General features: G+C 41.6%; 18 gene segments (V, D, J or C) and 1 further gene, besides 2 other annotated features; all 19 read left to right on the forward strand.

The window, feature by feature from the left end:
* The window catches only part of TRA (T cell receptor alpha locus), a 930,229-nt gene that overhangs the window by 897,307 nt on the left and 13,769 nt on the right, over positions 1-19,153 (forward strand).
* Positions 759-821, forward strand: TRAJ24 (T cell receptor alpha joining 24). The segment is given in 1 exon segment: positions 759-821. A coding segment is annotated over 1 exon segment (63 nt), but the record flags the coding sequence as incomplete, so codon positions are not given.
* TRAJ23 (T cell receptor alpha joining 23) lies at positions 1,206-1,268 on the forward strand. The segment is given in 1 exon segment: positions 1,206-1,268. A coding segment is annotated over 1 exon segment (63 nt), but the record flags the coding sequence as incomplete, so codon positions are not given.
* Positions 2,830-2,892, forward strand: TRAJ22 (T cell receptor alpha joining 22). The segment is given in 1 exon segment: positions 2,830-2,892. A coding segment is annotated over 1 exon segment (63 nt), but the record flags the coding sequence as incomplete, so codon positions are not given.
* On the forward strand, positions 4,390-4,444 carry TRAJ21 (T cell receptor alpha joining 21). The segment is given in 1 exon segment: positions 4,390-4,444. A coding segment is annotated over 1 exon segment (55 nt), but the record flags the coding sequence as incomplete, so codon positions are not given.
* On the forward strand, positions 5,115-5,171 carry TRAJ20 (T cell receptor alpha joining 20). The segment is given in 1 exon segment: positions 5,115-5,171. A coding segment is annotated over 1 exon segment (57 nt), but the record flags the coding sequence as incomplete, so codon positions are not given.
* On the forward strand, positions 6,053-6,112 carry TRAJ19 (T cell receptor alpha joining 19 (non-functional)). The segment is given in 1 exon segment: positions 6,053-6,112. A coding segment is annotated over 1 exon segment (60 nt), but the record flags the coding sequence as incomplete, so codon positions are not given.
* On the forward strand, positions 6,440-6,505 carry TRAJ18 (T cell receptor alpha joining 18). The segment is given in 1 exon segment: positions 6,440-6,505. A coding segment is annotated over 1 exon segment (66 nt), but the record flags the coding sequence as incomplete, so codon positions are not given.
* Positions 7,634-7,696, forward strand: TRAJ17 (T cell receptor alpha joining 17). The segment is given in 1 exon segment: positions 7,634-7,696. A coding segment is annotated over 1 exon segment (63 nt), but the record flags the coding sequence as incomplete, so codon positions are not given.
* TRAJ16 (T cell receptor alpha joining 16) lies at positions 9,317-9,376 on the forward strand. The segment is given in 1 exon segment: positions 9,317-9,376. A coding segment is annotated over 1 exon segment (60 nt), but the record flags the coding sequence as incomplete, so codon positions are not given.
* TRAJ15 (T cell receptor alpha joining 15) lies at positions 10,419-10,478 on the forward strand. The segment is given in 1 exon segment: positions 10,419-10,478. A coding segment is annotated over 1 exon segment (60 nt), but the record flags the coding sequence as incomplete, so codon positions are not given.
* Positions 11,117-11,168, forward strand: TRAJ14 (T cell receptor alpha joining 14). The segment is given in 1 exon segment: positions 11,117-11,168. A coding segment is annotated over 1 exon segment (52 nt), but the record flags the coding sequence as incomplete, so codon positions are not given.
* On the forward strand, positions 11,866-11,928 carry TRAJ13 (T cell receptor alpha joining 13). The segment is given in 1 exon segment: positions 11,866-11,928. A coding segment is annotated over 1 exon segment (63 nt), but the record flags the coding sequence as incomplete, so codon positions are not given.
* Positions 12,729-12,788, forward strand: TRAJ12 (T cell receptor alpha joining 12). The segment is given in 1 exon segment: positions 12,729-12,788. A coding segment is annotated over 1 exon segment (60 nt), but the record flags the coding sequence as incomplete, so codon positions are not given.
* TRAJ11 (T cell receptor alpha joining 11) lies at positions 13,292-13,351 on the forward strand. The segment is given in 1 exon segment: positions 13,292-13,351. A coding segment is annotated over 1 exon segment (60 nt), but the record flags the coding sequence as incomplete, so codon positions are not given.
* Positions 13,916-13,965: a silencer, noted in NCBI's record as "silent region_5585". NCBI's record gives its function as "represses an Ori minimal core promoter by ATAC-STARR-seq in GM12878 lymphoblastoid cells {active_cell/tissue: GM12878}" and the evidence as "EXISTENCE:reporter gene assay evidence [ECO:0000049][PMID:35858748]".
* Positions 14,287-14,350, forward strand: TRAJ10 (T cell receptor alpha joining 10). The segment is given in 1 exon segment: positions 14,287-14,350. A coding segment is annotated over 1 exon segment (64 nt), but the record flags the coding sequence as incomplete, so codon positions are not given.
* TRAJ9 (T cell receptor alpha joining 9) lies at positions 16,344-16,404 on the forward strand. The segment is given in 1 exon segment: positions 16,344-16,404. A coding segment is annotated over 1 exon segment (61 nt), but the record flags the coding sequence as incomplete, so codon positions are not given.
* On the forward strand, positions 16,935-16,994 carry TRAJ8 (T cell receptor alpha joining 8). The segment is given in 1 exon segment: positions 16,935-16,994. A coding segment is annotated over 1 exon segment (60 nt), but the record flags the coding sequence as incomplete, so codon positions are not given.
* Positions 17,667-18,136: an enhancer, noted in NCBI's record as "active region_8126". NCBI's record gives its function as "activates an Ori minimal core promoter by ATAC-STARR-seq in GM12878 lymphoblastoid cells {active_cell/tissue: GM12878}" and the evidence as "EXISTENCE:reporter gene assay evidence [ECO:0000049][PMID:35858748]".
* On the forward strand, positions 18,412-18,470 carry TRAJ7 (T cell receptor alpha joining 7). The segment is given in 1 exon segment: positions 18,412-18,470. A coding segment is annotated over 1 exon segment (59 nt), but the record flags the coding sequence as incomplete, so codon positions are not given.

Genomic DNA, 19,153 nt, shown 5'->3' on the forward strand with positions numbered 1-19,153 from the left:
TCATGCCTGTAATCCCAGCACTTTGGGAAGCTGAGGCAGGTGGATCACTTGAAGGTCAGGAGTTCGAGACCTGCCTGGCCAACATGGTGAAAGCCCGTCTCTACTAAAAATAAAAAAAATTAGCTGGGTGTGGTGGCACGCACCTGTAATCCCAGCTACTCAGAAGGCTGAGGCAGGAGAATCGCTTGAACCCGGGAGGCGGAGGTTGCAGTGAGCCAAGATCATGCCATTGCACTCCAGCCTGGGCAACAAAAGCGAAACTTCATCTCAAACAAACAAACAAGCTCAGGCAAGTAGAGGCCAGTGATTAACACTCTTCCAATAGGAACAGATCCCAAGCAACCTGCAGTAGTTTTTCCAGTAGGCTCGTGAACTCAAAACACCAAGTTATTTAAATGACAGGGCAACCGTTGTGATCAGCTGTCATTTGAGTAGTGCTGAGGACTGGGTCTGACCTTGAGTAAACGCCTAGGCTGGTGGGTTTCTATCCCTGCAGCATCTAAAGCGGACGCCCAGGCTTCACTGACCCCAGCAGTCTGGCTTTCTGCCCTTGCCGCCCAGGAGGTGCAGCTCTTGGCACACACCATCCTTAGTGTCTTGAAAGAAGAGAAATTAAAAGAGAAAGGGGGAAAAGCTTATATCTCATATCATGCAGTTGCCTCATTTTGTAGCAAGATTGTTTCCCCATGAGCAGTTTGTCTTCATTCAGCAGCTGTCTTCTCTGGGGAAGCCATTTTGTAGAGGTGTTTGTCACAGTGTGACAACTGACAGCTGGGGGAAATTCCAGTTTGGAGCAGGGACCCAGGTTGTGGTCACCCCAGGTAAGCCCCATTCCCTGGAGCCTCACCTGCCCTTAGTATTTGGCATGCCCTGCATGCCAAATATTTCTAGCCGAGACTATGAGAAACACATCTGAAAGGAAGCCATTTCCCTGAACAGCAGTACCCAAAGCCATTAAGCAAAAATGAGAGATCAGACTGGTGTTAAATAGAAACGTTTTTGGATAAATAGTAATTCTCATTATTCTCTATCAGTCTCCTGTGTGAATACCCTTATTTCCCTTATAAGGAAAAAAGTTACAATAAGCAGGATAGCCATGATTCATGCTGTGGTGTGGGAGCAATCTGCTGTGGATTTGGGGGTGGAGGATTAGAAATGTGTTCAGGCAGACTGGATGTGTTTTTGACAGGATATGTAACACAGTGTGATTTATAACCAGGGAGGAAAGCTTATCTTCGGACAGGGAACGGAGTTATCTGTGAAACCCAGTAAGTATAAAATTGTATCCCTGGATTAAGCAATGTCTGTGGATTAAGGGCTGATTTAGACCCAATTATACACCATATGAAGAATGTTTAGAGAGGGGGATGAGCATCAAATAGGAAGCCAATCGTCGTCCTGGCTAGGATCTAGCATCTCAGTGCAAAATGGGCTATGTAAGTGTGCCTCTGGGAATTGCTCCTGAATATATGTGTTGGGACTAAAATGTATGACTGGCTACTTGTTGTATTGGCTGGGATCATATCCCTGGATTTGTGCAGTAATTGGTGACAAGATTTCTAATTCCTTAACAAACCTTCTAAGGCACTATTCTATTTGGCTAAGATTATGTCAATTTATAGAAGGAAAGAACCTTGTAAATAATGATCATTAACCAAAAGTAATGTGATTAGTCTCTCTCAAAGTCTGAAAAACCACTTTTTTTTAAAAAGTTTACTCATGACTACTGAGGGACACTTCCTGTTTCTGAGACTTTCAGCCAAAAATTCGTACAGCGTAGCCTCACGGAGCAGAGAGAACCTTGACAACATTCCTTTTTGACTTTCTCCATGGATGAGAAAACTGAGGCTCAGGGAAGAGACAGATCCCGGCCCCACAGCCAGTCTATGGCTGAGCTAGAACTAGATTTTAGGTCTCTAATTTGCCAAACCTGTCAGTTGGCTCAAACTTGAAGTTTGAAGAGTCCGCAAGATTCATCTGACAAATATTTTCATGTACTTGCCCTCTGCCAGGCTCGTTGCTGAAACCAGGGATCCAACAGGAAGCAAACTCAGTGTGATATTGCCTTCATGAAACTTACATTCTGGAGGTGGATTCCATGTTTCTTCCCAGATATGACAATGCTTACCCTGATTTCTCTTGGGCATGGCTCTCTTATACTATCATCACTTCCTTAGGAAATACTAAAACTAATTTTTGCTGCAGTTTAAAGTCCTTGAGCAGATAACTAACACACATACCACTTTAGTCAGGAGAAGGGAAATGCCCAAAAGTGAAGTAGAAAACTAGGAATTTGTCTGATAATTGATTATTATAAAGTTATTTTATCAGTGTGAAATGAGTGGCCAAATTAACTGGACAATGCCAGCTCTGTACCTACCTCACTTTGATTCTATAGACTCAGTCTCAGGAGGATTCAAGAATTCAGACAGTTCTCTGATGACATAATCCAGTGATGCCCACAACAGAGGAGGCGTATTCTCTATTCTGGACTTTGTGAGTCTCCTTGGATGAAAAGATTCAAGTGCTGTTTTGACACCTAAAATCAGAGAGTATTTGCTCTATACATATATCGAAAATACACAGTTAATGTTTAGAACTTTGTAGTGGAAAGTGGAAAGCAAAGGTCCCCTAAAAGAAAATGGGATTGTAAAGACGAAGGAGGGTTAGTTTAGGATTTGTAGAAAGTCAGTTTGGCTACTCCAGACCAAACCTAGATTAACAGTGATGCAGGCCTAATTCATAAAGGAAGCACTGCCAGCTCTTTATTCAGTGCTTTGCCAACCTGGCCTGTTTGATCTGGTTTTTGTTGTTGAGCAAATCATAGTGTTTCTTCTGGTTCTGCAAGGCAACTGACCTTTGGATCTGGGACACAATTGACTGTTTTACCTGGTAGGCTGCCTCAATTAAATACTATTTGCACTGATTTACTAATCTACAAATGTATTCTGTACATGTAACTTAATGGGCCTGAGGTTGAAGATGGGGAGAGACAGCAACAATGCATACTAGAAAGGGTAATGCGAGCAGAGAATTATTTATCAGAGACCAAGAAGAGAAAGAGAAGCTTTTTGCTAAGGCTTTTAGTAATAGGAGTTAATGAAAATGAATAGAAAAAAATTTCATTTTAACTTAGAAGAATTGCTGAATAATGGGAACAGATTCCATAAGGGGAACCTCTGCTTCTGAAAATATTTGCACTAGGACCAGCCTACGTGCTACAAAAACTGTCTCACACCAAGTCTAGTTGGTCACTTACATTTTTAGCCTATTCTAGTAGCTATTTCTAAATAAGTCTTTAAACATAGAGGTGCCTATATTTAAGATATTTAAATGAGGCTCTATTTCTATAGCTCTCTGGTGCCCTTCCAGCAAAGCATTGCTGTAACACATTGCTTATCATTTCTACAAGTGAGAACAAGTAAGCCCCTGGCCCTCCAAAATTGCATGAGTATTATAATTACTTGGCTTAGATTGAAGTCACTTCTGTGTTACTTCTCATAACTGTGTTCATTTGTTGAGATCTGTTTAACTCCAAACTGTGTGGGCGTCTAACTGTTGGCACTAAGGTTTCTTTTCTCTTGAAATTGCCAGCAAAATATTTTACCCATAAATAATGTTTCATCTAGACTTGCAAATGACAACTAACACTGCAGGCTCTTTTTTTTTCTTTTGCTTTGTTTCTTTTTTTCTGAAGGGAATATGCAAGCAGGAAGCAAAAAAAAAAAAAAAGCCAAAATGTACAGTTTGACTGTGGGGTCTGGGAGGAGAGTGTCAATGTGGATGCTAAAATATACATGGTTGTATAATGTAGGTACTGTCACAGAGAGGCTATAGTGATCTTATTAGATCATACATACAGAGCACCACTGGTCAGCTGGCGTTGCTCGGGGTGTCCTTAAGAAAAGCTCAGGTCTAGTTGTCAAGTGCAACCCAGATTCAGATACAGAGTCTCAGAGAGAAGCTTCCAGATCACCCTGGAGCTAAATGCAGAATATGAATTTTCCCCTTAGTTAAGTCTACCTGAGGGGAATTTTCATTTATAATTAGGAAAAGAGAAAGGTAAAGAACATTTACTTGCAGTGTCCTGTTTCAAATATTGTGTGCATTGAGCACAGAGGACACAAGAATGAACCCAAGCAGAAAACTAAAGAAAAGAAATCAATAAAACCACTGAAGAAAACCAGTTGCCCTTATCTTGCCTGTCTCTGATAATGAATGTGCCTTCCCTGCTCATTCCTCACTTTGGTTCTCAAATTTTCCAGGGAATTAGCAAAGAACTGGTAGGGTTGGGTTAGTCTTGGTCTAATTTGGTTAGTCATCTCTGGATAACAAGTCTCCTTTTTAGGAAGTGCCAGGGGATTTTTTGTAATGCCAATAAACATGGTGTACAACTTCAACAAATTTTACTTTGGATCTGGGACCAAACTCAATGTAAAACCAAGTAAGTTATAGTTGCCTAGAAGAAAAAGTTACCAACACATTATGCTAAATTCTTCTTTTCAGTCTGTATTTCAGTTCTTTTATTTTGCATTTTGGGTCCCCACCCATGATATTTTATTAGTCCTTATTCATATGTCACTTGAACAGATATGTAGTAAACAAATCTCATGATCGAGTAGACATGCTGAAACTGCCAATGTTCTCAAGGTGCTATTCTTTATAAGGAAAATGCCCAAATTTTAACTGTTGCTACTGAACAAAAGAGCATTTGGATATAATTTAAAGCACCCCTGAATGTCCAGGATTTCAGAGAGGAGACATGACAAATTAAAATTATATGTATTATTTAAAGATGAAAAGAATTAGATCCTCTTGAAAATACTCTAATAACTAACATTTCTTCAACATTCGCAATATGCAAAGCACCTTTCATACCTTGACTCATCTGACCCTCCTAACAACCCTCTGGGATAGATATTACCTATCTCCGCTTCCACAGATGAGGAAACAGTGTGAAAGGTAAAACTAAAGCAAAGAGGTTGAAATAGTTACCCAAGGGCTCACCGCAGATGAGGGGCAGAGCTAGATTAAGAGCCTGGCCTGCCTGTCCCCTAGCCCACTCTCTTAACCATGGTCTTGGTGAGGTTTGTGTAGGGCGACCTCGCACTGTGGTTCTAACGACTACAAGCTCAGCTTTGGAGCCGGAACCACAGTAACTGTAAGAGCAAGTAAGTAAGAAAGAAAAGTCCAGAATAATTTTAAGCAAAATGGTGGGTAGGTTTTTCAGCAATTTCACCTAGGAAGTGCAATGTCAAGAACTAAATTCTAAGAGCTTTCCCAGTTTGTGTTAGAACCATAATTTTTCTACCTCACACGTCTCCCTCGCCTTCTCTGTCACCTCAGAACAGCTCCTCCTAAGGCATGACTTCACAATGGTACATTTGTTGGTGGCGCAGTCTTTGTGGTCAGATAAAAACTGAGCTAATTATCTGAAATTATCTCAGGTCTCTAAGTGAGAGAGTTAACTCCTTTCAAATATTTGAAGAACTACGATGTAGACCAGGTAAGGGGTGAGTGTGGAGGCCAAATCAAAACGAGCAGGTGCAAGATGTGCCCCAACCTCCCCTCAAACATTGTTGAACAAGTGGAACTGCCCTGCAGTGGAAAGGCTGCTTTGTGAAGTATGGAACTTTTCTTCCTTAGATATCTTCATGCCAGACCCCTAAGGTTAACCATGAGATGTTGCAGAAGGCACTTCTATGCCATTTTAGCTATTAGATTGAATCACCTCTGGGCTCCCTTTCAAATCTAAATGCTAAGATCCCATGACTCAAGCCTGGAGGATTAATAGGTGAGCTCAGACTTGTTTCTTCTATTTTTACTATTTTGATAGCCAAAGAAATAATTCATCAAATTATTCATAAGCTAAAGCCTACTTGGGATTTTTACACCTAGAAGATGGTGGGGTATGATTTCCCAGTGCAGTAAATGAGAAAACAATAGGAGACATCAAGGAGGAAAAAAAGAAGGAAGAGATAAAGGGAATGTCTTAAGGGAGGCTCAGAGGTTGAATGAAGGAAATGAGGTGATTTTGCAGAGGACAGATGTGGCTATCAAAGATTTTACAATTTCACCTTTGGAAAGGGATCCAAACATAATGTCACTCCAAGTAAGTGAGCAGCCTTTTGTACTCGAAAATAGGGCCAGGGGAGCAAAGTTTCTTCCAATTTAAACACACTCAAAAGGATGTGTAATTGCTTTCTGATGGGAGGGAACTCTGAAGGTAGAAAGACTATTGTTACCACAGATCACTTGTCCCTGGAGATATAGCATCTGAGGACTGACTGTCTAGCTTAGACTGCTGTCTGCACAAGAAGAAGACTTACAGATGCTTAAGGAGGATGGAGGCAAATTTTCAACCCTGTACTCCAAAGCTGAGGGGAGAGGGGATGGGAAACATTAGGGCTGGGTTCATGTAAAGGGGACCAGCATTGTGCCGACAGAGGCTCAACCCTGGGGAGGCTATACTTTGGAAGAGGAACTCAGTTGACTGTCTGGCCTGGTGAGTGAGTCGCTTTCTATTCCAGGAAAATATTACTGTGGAGAAATTAAAAGGGGAGATGAATTAACTCCTTTAGTCTTGAAACTAAAGAGATATGTGTACTTCCCCTCCTGGAGGACCCCAGTCCCTAGGTAGATTAGGACGAGGAAGCAGAGGGAGACAAAGGCGATGGAAAGTCCCTTTTAGGAACCCAGGAATCAGAGAGAACTTGATGGTCCCCACCAAAGGCAAAGAAGGGAGGTCCCACTAAAACATGTGAGCATCCTAAAACACCTGCTCTGGTCCACCCACAATATTTGGTGAAGGACATGGCCCTCCACCCAGAATGGGCAAGCAAACTAGACCAGCTTTCTAAGGTGTGTTTTTCTTGGGTCCTGTGACTCTTGGCCGTCTCCCTGTCAGAGGCTCCATCTGTCGCTGCACTCTTTCTTATTGAGAATGGCCTCTCCGTGGTTCTCTGTAAACTTTCCCCAAGAAGCCTGTTTCCATGCTTCCTCAGCACTTAGCCTCACCGATGGATGGGCTCTAGAGTAGCTGGAGGGAGTCTGGGTCTGAAACTTTCACTGAGAAAGTAAAGTTGATCCGCAGTATCCAGTGGATATGGCAGCTGGGAGGACCTAGGACTGAAGTACTCGTCCTCTCTTTGGGGCCTTTCCTGGGCACTCGATTGAATACAGAAACCCTGTTAGCAAGTGCATGCATGTATATGAGTGTGTTCATTCAGCATTTCCATTCTGAATGTATGAATAGCCTTACTCTGAAGACTCCCTGGAGCTTACAGGGCTTTCTGTTTTCAGAGAAAATTGCCTTTGTGAGACAAAAATGGCCAAGTGGGCCCCTGAATGAGGTTATGGTTGAGAGCTATTAATATTATCCTTATTCACAGAGCAAGATCCGAATTCCCAAAGCAGAGTAGACAATAACTATGTGAAGGGCTTAGACCCAAATATGTGCCCACTTGCAAGCATTCCAGCTCTATGAAGAGGATACAGTGCTAGGAGATAGGATTACCCTGCACATTGCAAACCCTCCACTTTTCCAAGACCATAGAAAATGTCCTTTGTTGAGCACCAACTGAGTGTTATTTTCTTGGTCCCTGTGGTTTTTGCTGGGCCTTAAATCATTGTGTGATCAAAGCTGCAGGCAACAAGCTAACTTTTGGAGGAGGAACCAGGGTGCTAGTTAAACCAAGTGAGTACTGGGGCTTGACCCACAATTGAGCCTTGTCATCAATTTGCAATTCAATGTGCCGTATTGGCCCAAATTAATGTCTCAAACTTGTCTTTAAAATGTTTCATGTTGCTCTTATGCATAAACATGCACTTATGTACAAATTCAGCATGGATAAAGGATATTGTCATCTTGACATTTTCTAGAATCTATTTTCTTAAGAGAAGGCACATAGTAAAAGGTACTTTTCTTATTTCTTCACATTTCTTAACTGATTTTCCCAAGAGGCAGAGGAACTTGGACGTGGCGTTTCTGTCTATTCAGAGTAGTTGATTTGAATATGGTTACAATAGCAGAGCAAGGACTTACAATTTCTAAGGTTCAAAATATTGCTGTCTGTACCAGCCTGCAGCCTCTATAACCATTATTCTGATTTATTTCCTCTGGCCCTCATTTTTCCCAATTAATGTAACTGAAATATTGGTAACCATTATCTTCCGGTTCACAGAAAGTGTGTGAGGATTAAAAAGTCGCTGCTCTGAAAAGGAATTGAGCTGGAGGGTTTTCTTTTGGGGGATTATTGTTTTGTTGATGGTATTGTCTCTTTCATTGAGGGAGAGAATAAGAAAGGAGGCATACTTGAAAGGCAAGGTAATATGATCAATACATGAACGTGTGCAAAATAAATCATTAAGGCATTCAACTAGAAGCCAAAAAACAGTATGGACCCCGGCTCAGCCACTCACTCACTAGGCAGCCATGAGAAGATCACCAAGCTCTCCCAGCCTCAGTTAACCTAAAATGTGGAGATTATTATTCCAGCCTTGACTACTTCAAAGGATGCTATGAAATTCAGATGAGATAATATATGTGAAATCTCCTTGAAAAAGATGGGTGGTCAAATGATTCATGATTTTTTTTTTTTTTTTTTTTTTTTTTTGAGACGGAGTCTCGCTCTGTCGCCCAGGCTGGAGTGCAGTGGCGGGATCTCGGCTCACTGCAAGCTCCGCCTCCCGGGTTCACGCCATTCTCCTGCCTCAGCCTCCCAAGTAGCTGGGACCACAGGCGCCCGCCACTACGCCCGGCTAATTTTTTGTATTTTTAGTAGAGACGAGGTTTCACCGTTTTAGCCGGGATGGTCTCGATCTCCTGACCTCGTGATCCGCCCGCCTCGGCCTCCCAAAGTGCTGGGATTACAGGCGTGAGCCACCGCGCCCGGCCTCATGATTTTTAATAGTTAGATTTTATGCAAAATTTCATTTGAGGGTAAACTTAAAGGTGAACAAGTTTAATGGACTTTGGCCATGGCAGAGAAATGGTTAGGTTTGGATATAAGGTGGACCTCTCTAATTATAAGAAAAAAAAGGAACATGAGAATTGGTGAACAAGACCTTCCCTGGAGATCTTCAGAAACCTGAGGTCACTCAGGAGAGAAATGTGTGAAGTTGAGAGCTTACAGTAAATGGTCTCTGAAGTTTCCCACCATTCCAAAGAGTGCGTGAGCTTAAAATTTTTCGTGAGTTTAGCTAAATATGTGCTTAGTGTTAGATTAGGTTTCAACCAAGCAAAAGAACCCTGGGAGAAGTACTCTGCTTGGAAATGAAGCATCCTTTGGTTTTTGTGGTACAATAGATCACTGTGGGTTTTCAGATGGCCAGAAGCTGCTCTTTGCAAGGGGGACCATGTTAAAGGTGGATCTTAGTAAGTATTATTACTAATGAATTCTTAATTGATTAGTTTTTGAGACAAGTAATAAGCTTTTTTGGAAATCTAAGTGGACTGCCAAATGTTCTCGATTTATCCATATTGCATGGGGAGCAGAGCATTCTTCATGCCTTCTCCATCCTCACTTCTGCCAGGTAGCAGTTTGCATTGTTAACAGGGAAGCAGAATGGAAGCTTAACAGAGAAGCAGTATGGAAGACGTCTCCTTAGCCCAGTGGTCAGTTGCATCAGAGAAGTCTGCTCTGAAATGCGAACACTTTCTCTTGCAGCTGGCAGCCCCCTGCAACCTCAGTGCCCTCCATGGCCAGGGCCAAAGCTTCCAGGTGCCCAGATAACATCCCAAAGTCACTCTGAGAGAAGAGAGAAAATCGGTCTTACTTTACCTTTTCTAACCAGGAATTTACATGGTTAGTTTTACATCTAACACTTCAGCAGGGAGAAGACATGATCTAAGTGTCCATGTGGACACTCTGTGTGACTCGGATCCAGGATCTGCTCTTTCAGCCCCTCCATTTATCGCAAAAGGGATGATGATTAATTCCTCCATGCCTAGACTTCACTTTAGACATCACCTCAGAGAGGCCTGTCTTACCCAGCCAATCTAACAAGCCATCAAACACAGCCACTGCCTGGCTGCTCTCTACCCTGTTATTTAGCCTGATTTTAATTCACACACTTTCATCACTTAACATTATACTATCTGTGTATTTATTGTTTGCCTTCTTCTAGACCGTAGACACCAGGAGGACGGGGACAGTGTCTAAGTGGCTCTCACCGTATCCCTAGTGCCGGCACAATGTCTTTACACATCGGAGGTGTTCAGTGAACAGTTACTGAGTGAATAAAGGACTTAGCACCAACTGCCGCTCTTTTTCATGAAATTACAGAGCTTTGCTATTTCATACCCAAATACTAAAACCTACTGAGATTTTTGCAAATTTCCATCATTTATAGTTATATCCAAGGTGGATTTGAGTGAGCAGGTACATGAGGTATTTGCAGGGCCTCATTTCACTGTGCCAACCAGGCAGGAACTGCTCTGATCTTTGGGAAGGGAACCACCTTATCAGTGAGTTCCAGTAAGTACCTGATAATTATTGATCATAGTGCTTGTACTTATCCTGTAGTCATATATTGCACAGGTGACCAAATGCCTCCTATTTCTTTGAGTTAAGGAATATTGACATTTGATGAGGAAAGCCATTTAAACACATGGGAAAATTGGATGTTGTCTCTCACCCCTAATACTCCAACCATAGCCCCTGTCCTATTCCATGCTCTTAAAAAAATTTTAATTGATAGAAGAAAGAAAGATTATCTACAAGGATATGAGCAATTTGCTAAACAGTGGTAAAACGAGATTATGTACAGGTGTTGATTCCTAGGTAAAAATGGGGGTCAGAGCTGCTATCCTTTGGCTAGTAAAACAAGATTACTTGGTGAAATTATGTAAATCTCCTCGAAAGAAATAAGTTTCAGAGTTGTCTAGAGAATATCACTTGGACTGTTCTCAGGCTTTCCACTACATCTATTGTACCACTATGGTGCCCTGAAAAGAGGCTTTCTCAGGCTTAATTCCATGGCTTAGTCTTTATTCCAGTATCAAAAAGGGGGAATCCCAGCCAGAGCTCCCATGAGGGAGGATAGCTGCATGCTAACCACATTAATCTATTATCAAGGTAACTCGGTCATTTTTGTCAGGCAGCACAGTGCTGTGATTTATAGCACATTCATCTTTGGGAGTGGGACAAGATTATCAGTAAAACCTGGTAAGTAGGCAATATGTCACTAAAGTAGGAGGCTTAATGTGGCTACTGAGACCCACTAAACTTACTGCAGTATTTGGAAGGCCCAAGTGTCAAGAAATTAATGGTTTATGCAGACTTAAGTGGATTCCAATGAAGGAAGAAATGTTAAAGTAATGGCACAGAGGATAGAAGAGCTAGCTGTGAAAAAAAATAGCCATGTGGATGAACCAAACGCAACAGACTGAAAGAGCCTAGAGAGTTGATCCTAAAGAAAAAGGCAGAAAGTCTGGCTGAGCACTTCCAGTTCTGCTGACCTGGCTTGATTAGTGAATCTGGGCCACAGTATCTTTATCTATAAAATGAAAACATTTAATATCACCTCAGATTTTTTGTTTTAATTTTGTGGGTACATAATAGGTGTATATATTTATTTTAAAGATAAGCTAATATATGTGAAAGTATTTTGTAAATTCTTAAATGCTATCCACATGTAAAATATTATTTGTTTATAGAACAAAAAAAAACTATGTCAGATTTAGAATTCTTTTAACATGAGAATTTGTAGGTTCTTAGTGAAATAGCCATTTACATGTGATCTGTAGCCCTAGGCATTGGTAAAAAGCACTTTCTCTTCTACTGAAATATAGTGGCTCAAATGCTACCCAAATGAAAAGGGCAGGGGAAGGGAAGTCATTTTGTAAAGGCAGGCATTACAGTGTGAATTCTGGGGGTTACCAGAAAGTTACCTTTGGAACTGGAACAAAGCTCCAAGTCATCCCAAGTGAGTCCAATTTCCTATGCTTTCCTCTTCCTTGTGTTGTCTTCTCTCAGACCGTAACATTTGGAGCACATAAAGAGATATTATGGGCCTGCTCTTTTCTGGCTGTTTCAGGAGACTGAAAAGGATTGTATAAGAACATCCTTTAGCATGTTCTTAGTATTGTTTTGTCCAGTGTGTGTTTCTTCTTAATATCAAAAAAAACTAAGACATTGCCTGTGAAGCCAATGGAAAACAGTAGATTTGCAAAGAAAAGAACTAAAGAGAAGACAAGTGGTACTTTTTACCAAGCTTAAAGCAGAGTGGGTGTCCTTTAATCAGAGGGATGCTTGGTTCTGGGGGCTGGATAGGACTCAGGTAAGTAACAAGGCTACCACTGAGTCACTGAGCTTCTAAAATGAGTTGACTCGGGGGAGCAGGAAGCTGCCACTCATGATGATCTGAATGCTATTCCGTGAAGTTTCAGATTGATTGAAGTTAAAATTAGGGGTGACACTATGTCAGGAATCTAAAAATTGATAACTGTAATGGAAATGAAAGAAGGGCTAGCTACATCTGTTGGATAAATGGAGTTGAAAATCATGAATTTGATGGCGACAGACCCAGAGAGTTGGGCAGGTAGAAACTTCATTTCAAGTGATATGCAGTAAATACCCCAAATTTGAGTCAAATGGCCTGTGTAAAAAGGAAGTGAAAATGTAACCCGTATCTCCTTGTAGGTGAAAAGGCCATATCTCTAGGTCTTAGGTATGAAAAGGATGTGTGGGCTTCTGGGTGTTTTTGACTGACTAAGAAACACTGTGGGATGGATAGCAGCTATAAATTGATCTTCGGGAGTGGGACCAGACTGCTGGTCAGGCCTGGTAAGTAAGGTGTCAGAGAGGCAACAGAAAGATTGAGGGTAAAATGTCTTCATGTCTCAGGAAATGATTGTATAATGCAAAATGAGCTGGAGTTTTTTAGGAGCACTGTTACTAGAGTTCTGATGTCTGGTTCTAGCAAAAGAACCCTAATATAGCTGTAATCCCTCTCTAGAAGGAACAAGGAAGAGGATTCTTCTCTGAAAGCTCCTCCTAAGATTTATCCATCCTCTGCCAAAGTGTCTTGTGGATCCAGGATACTTACATCTTTGTTAGCAGTGCTGGCCCAACCTGCTCAGCCTCAGATCACCTATCCCTCATTTGTAAAATGAGGATAATATTTAAGCTCATGGCACAGTTGAAGCCCAAATGAGGTAGTGGAATATATGCAGATTATTAATCCATTTGGCTCATAAATGAAGGTTTTCTTTCCTTTTCCCTAAGTAGATCATGGGTTGAAATACCTAACACTGCAAATCATTTTTGTATGGGGATTTGCTATAGTGTGAATTCAGGATACAGCACCCTCACCTTTGGGAAGGGGACTATGCTTCTAGTCTCTCCAGGTACATGTTGACCCCATCCCACCCATGTTTTCCCCCTATCTGGTTTAAGGCTTCCATATGTATTGCGTGTTATCCTCATGGATTTCATCATCCTTGTTTTATTATCAATGTTCTGTGAATTTAAGATTGAGCCTCCATGGACTCTTCATTTAAAAATGAAAATAGCTAATAGAAGAGTTGGAAATAACAGTAGAACTAATTCACTAGGTCAGGATGGAGAAGGGAGTAATACCCTAGACAATTAGGACAAACGTGGTTTTTCCAGAAATAGACTCACTTCCTGTTTAAAGCCTAGACTGTGGTCTCTCCCCGGGCACCCTTCACATTCCTCTAACCCTCCATATCCCAAATTTAGCTGTGGAATCTTAGACAATCTGTGACCTATGCAGCTACAGAAATCTTTTCTTACTGAGAATATCTGCCTATTTGAACCAAAAGATCCTTGAGAATAGACAGTCTCTAATATTCCATGAAGTGTCTGATATGGTCCTTTTACAAAAGTAAATACTTGATAAATTCTTGCTTAATTGAAGTTAAACACCCAAAGAAATCAGGTTTCCAGGCCAAAGGGAAGAAGAAAATTAAGCAAATGACACAGTACATTTGAGCGTGTAGTGGGGAGGAAGAAATGCTAGATTGGGATTCAAATAGAGCCATGTTTTGGTCTCTGCTGCCAACTAGCAATGTAACTTAGACCAGATCTCTTGCCTCTAAGCCTCAGTTTCTTTATCTGTAAATGGGGAAGTGGGTCCAATGGCCTCTCTGGCCTCTTAGTACAAAAAGTCTATGAATGTATCCCATTTGGGGCACTTTTTTCTCCTAGGAGTAACTCAATAGCTATTTTAAAGCTTGAGTGTTTTCTAACTCATTAGAGCACATCAAGAAGAGGGGTGAAGTGACAAAAGGGAGTTTATTGTGAGGCATCAAACACTGTGATACTCACGGGAGGAGGAAACAAACTCACCTTTGGGACAGGCACTCAGCTAAAAGTGGAACTCAGTAAGTATGAGATTCTATGGTAATTACAAAATGTATTCTGGTGACAATAAGTGGAAGAAAAGGTGATGTAATTTTTGTCATTGTATCTTATTTTTAATCTATTACTGAAGCATTAAGAATTGTGACATCCAGATAAATTAGTGAAAGTATTCAAAGGCTATATAAGCATGCTTTCGTTAGGGTGGAATTTAGCTAACCACTAAGACTTTTTCCAAGATATGAGATTTTCAGCTCTCTTCAACGTGAGAGTTTTTAATACTAGTATTAAGCTAAACGATGCTCAATGGAAGAAAAGAGCTAGAAGAGCAGAAAATTGCACCGTCATGATCAAATAGATCCTTTCTACTTCCACTGCCATGGACTCAGTGGTGCATTTAGAAGAGGGTATTCAAGGTCATTTTAGCCATGCCCCAAAAAAACCACTCCCAATTCATTCCAGAGATTGTGCCCCCTTATGCTAAACATCATCCAAGAAGAGTCAGTGAAGTACAGAGAAAGGAACCCAGGGCTTCTTGTTTCGGTCCAGAGTTCTAGGTTTGATTTGGTCCCAACTGGATGTGTGATATTGGAACGAGTCATTGCCCCTCTCTGCACCTCAGACTCCTCCAGTGGATGAGGGGGTCAAAGCCCTCAAAATCTGTTGTTCTGGGATTTCGCTATTATACCACCCGAGAGTTTATAGGACTCGAGAGTATGGAATCTTGTGAGTATTTCATAAACAAATTCTATGACCCTCAGGAAATAGCCCTGTTAATCAACAACCTAACTTAACATAGAAATAATAACCACCATCTCAGTCCCTACCATGTTTAGATACGATGCTAGATGCATGACATGTAGAATTGTTCATCTGAAATAACTCTGTGAGGTAAGGGGAAGTATCTTATTTTACAAAAGAAGAAACTGAGGCTCAGAGAAGGAAGTGCCCAAGATCCCAAAGCTAGTAAGTAAAGGGCCTAAATTTAAACTTGGGTCTGCCTGCCTGACTAAAAAGCCCTGCTCTTTCTTTTATTTTATTTTATTTTATTTATTTATTTATTTATTTCTGAGACAGAGTCTTGCTCTGTCACCCAGGCTGGAGTGCAGTGCAGTCTCAGCTCACTGCAGCCTCTGCCTCCCAGGTTCAAGCGATTCGATTCTCCTGCCTCAGCCTCCCAAGTAGCTGGGGTTACAGGCATGCGCCACCACACCTGAAAGCCCTGCTCTTTCTACTGCATGATGTCGTAGAGCTTGTGCTCTAGTTTACTTAGAAATGAGAGGTGATGCCAATCACAGTGACTGGTGAAATGCTTGGAATTTATCTTTTCTACTTTAGATATTGCTGTGAGTTAGAGAGGGTGCTTCGGGAAATCTTGACATGGATGCCCCAAGTGTCTAAAGAGTTCTCCTCCCCTTTCAATGACAAAACAAAGTACAGAGTTGCTGGGAGCATTTACCCCAATAGGGAGAAAAGAGAGGGGAGCTGGCTGCAGCCACTCCCTTGTTCTGACTGTCCCTTTCCTTCGCTGTTTCTTGTATTTTCCCCAGGCAGACCAGCCACCAATATAACTGATCTACAAGAGCCTGACTCCTTTGTGAGTTATAGAGAAATGCAGGGTGAAGGCACTTTGCACATAGAACTTTAGCTCTGAGAGACAGCCTCAAAATATCTAGTTCACCCCTCTTTATTTTCCCAATAAGGAAATTAAGACCCAGAGAGGTTGGCTGAATTGTCTAAGGTCAGTGCGAACTAGGGCTGGGACTAGAACCTGGAGATCCTGGTCCTGGGGCCATATTCTGTGACTGCTGTTTGGTGAACTAAACTTCTGATAGGTAGGAAGTGTGAGTTATGCTCATAAACAGGAAAAACAAATAGGTTTTACAAGGGGAGTATAAAAATGTCCTCCTTATTACTAGCACCTTAGTATAGGCTCCCTAGACCTGCTCCCCAGCTGTGGTGTAAAAATGGAAGGAGAAGGAAATGGCCCATTTTGTCGCAGTGCAAATCACTGTGGGAAATACTGGAGGCTTCAAAACTATCTTTGGAGCAGGAACAAGACTATTTGTTAAAGCAAGTAAGTTCCATGAAATAACCTGATTTATATTACAGTTGAAGAACATCTGTTTTCATTGATTTTTTTCTTTTTAGGGGGAAGGGGACATAGTTTTGTCTGCCAGTTAAATTAGAAGATACATTGGCAATAATAATGTTGCACTGTACAGTATCCATGGGCATCACTCTTGCAAGAAACATGTATAATAACAAACAGTTAAGTGTGGATGGATAAAACTTCCCTAGGTCCTATCTAGAACTGAAACTCTGTAATTATATTAATAACTTTTTTAACTTGAATATTAGTGACATTTTTATATAACCCAAGGTATACAAAGCAGAATCTTCAGTTGGGTTCTATCTGATTTGTTGTCATCTTCCAATGGTCTTAGGAAAATTAAGGTTAAATAGTAAGATTAGATGCCTCCTACCACTTTGGTACATGCATGCAGACATAGAAACACCCTTAGTAACTAACTTGCATGTGACTTGGCAATCCTAGGCTATGGCCCAGTGACAGGGTCCCATTTTGTACAGAGTTATGTCAGAGTGTGAACACAGGCTTTCAGAAACTTGTATTTGGAACTGGCACCTGACTTCTGGTCAGTCCAAGTAAGTCAAATCTGCAGAAATGTGTAGCCCTATCCTCAATATTGGGCATATATGGATATAATTATTCTGGTCTATAATAGATTATTATTACTACTATTTTGTTCTTATTAATCATAACAATGCTGCTAATTTCAAATATACATTTTCTGCCATATTATTATTTTTACCTTTAAGGAGAATTATTGTCAAGATATCAGGAGGGAAATATTTGAATTTCCTTTGAGTCAAGTTTCTTATTTGTTCGTCAGTTCCCACCTCTCTGCTGAGGGTCATATGAACCTCACGATGTTTTGGTTTTTATACCGCCTTCTTATTATCTCTCTTAGAAATGCTTCCTTGGTTTTTCCTTGCCTAAGCACTTAGATTTTGCAGCTCACATTTACCCAGAGTATACTTAGCTTTTAACCTCTCCCAAAACTGGCCTCCCTGTCCCAATAATTATGCACAGTAAAAGTCAGTTCAATTCAGTAAATGATTATTGAGTATCATCAACAAACCAGGGAATCATCATTGGTTTTAAAAGAAAGAAACAAAGAAAAGAATTTTTAAAACCCTAAGCTATCTTAGGCTTCTGATCTCAAGAACTTCCAGTCTTATCAGAGAAACTAAGCACTCATAATAAAAAGTCTAACAACAATTTATATGTGTATGTGCCAAGATAGGGGGGTGGGTTTCCTGAGGGCTGGAGACAGGACAGGTATGACCATGCACAGCCGCATTCTTTGGCAGAGAACACACATGATTCCCCCAAATATGTTTCTGGAAACGGAATTGAGTCTGTTCTGTGCTGAGATCTTTGACTTTCTTGAGGACAAAAGCCCCCTTGGCAGTTAGCATCCTTGAGCGGGGGTGAGGACAGAAACAGGAATGAGTCAGGCGTGAGTCACCCAAGACTCTCACTCAGCCCCAAGAGGATGGAGTGACTCTGAGTCATGCCGAGGCATGTCTTTAGCATGTGCTCCAGCACAGTGTGCATTTATGGCAAGGTGAAAAATACATTTTTGCACATGTCACTAGGAAAATGGTACCTTCTTCTCAGGCATGGCAGATGAAGTAGGAAAATGCCCGCCTGCTCTCTGGTATCTTTAGAAATACTCACACCCATCCAGCCTATGTAGGATACAATGTTTTTCATGAAGTTTTATGAAGATTCTGTTTTTCCCAAAGGAGAAATAGCCAAAGCTGTGTTTATTGATAGCTGTGATGAGGAAAATGAAGGCCAACAGGTAGCAGTGGGGTCTGGTGCTGTTTATACCCTTTAGGGAGGTTCCTTCAAGTCTTCATACCACCCATTACAAGGAAAACTTTAGCATCCGCCTTTCAGGGTTTCCAGATCTTAGAGCTACTGTGAAGGGGATGTGTCTTCAGAGAAGGGGTGGGCAAAACCAGGAGGTTTTTGTAATACACTTACACAGTGTGACTATGGGAACAACAGACTCGCTTTTGGGAAGGGGAACCAAGTGGTGGTCATACCAAGTAAGTGAGCTGGGATCCTCCTGCACAAATGGCCACAGCCACCCCCATCCCTACCCTGTGCTGGAGAGCCTCTTATCATATTTCCATGGGAGCGGGGGAAGGACATGCCATTCATCAGTGCTATATCGAAGAACCTTAGGCGGCCACTGTCCCAAATCTTTGCCTGTCCCTGGTTTCTTTCACTCTCCCCTTCTCTGCATCTCCACTGACCACACTCCCATTCTCATGTAAGCTGCCCCTGATCTTCCCTGAGGCTGGATTTCAGATTGAACAAAGGACCACAAAAGTGAGAGCTGGAGGGGACCGTGGGGACATCTTGCTCATGTTGCAGAGGGACCTGATGCCAGGGTCTAGCATCTGTCCAAGACCGTGCTGATGGTCAGTGCACAGCAGTGGAGGGGCCCCAGCCCTTTACTCCCACCCTGAGTTTGGTGGAGCCACACAGCTCTTTGCTAAGTGACCCTCAAACCCAGTGTGAGATAAGCTGAGTGTTGACAGTGCCCACCTGCTAGGGAACCAAGTACTGAGTTCCTGCCCCAGCTCAGGACTGTGGCGCAGGCCATGACCTCCCTGAGCCTCAGTTTTCATATCTCTGAAGTAGACAGCATGGTCTCTGTTTCCTCCCATCTTTCAAAAATTCTATGGAAATTATTGTGACTTTTTTCTCTGTAATTGTAGGGTTT

Source organism: Homo sapiens, chromosome 14 (genome assembly GCF_000001405.40).
Source record: "Homo sapiens chromosome 14, GRCh38.p14 Primary Assembly".
NCBI lineage: Eukaryota > Metazoa > Chordata > Mammalia > Primates > Hominidae > Homo > Homo sapiens.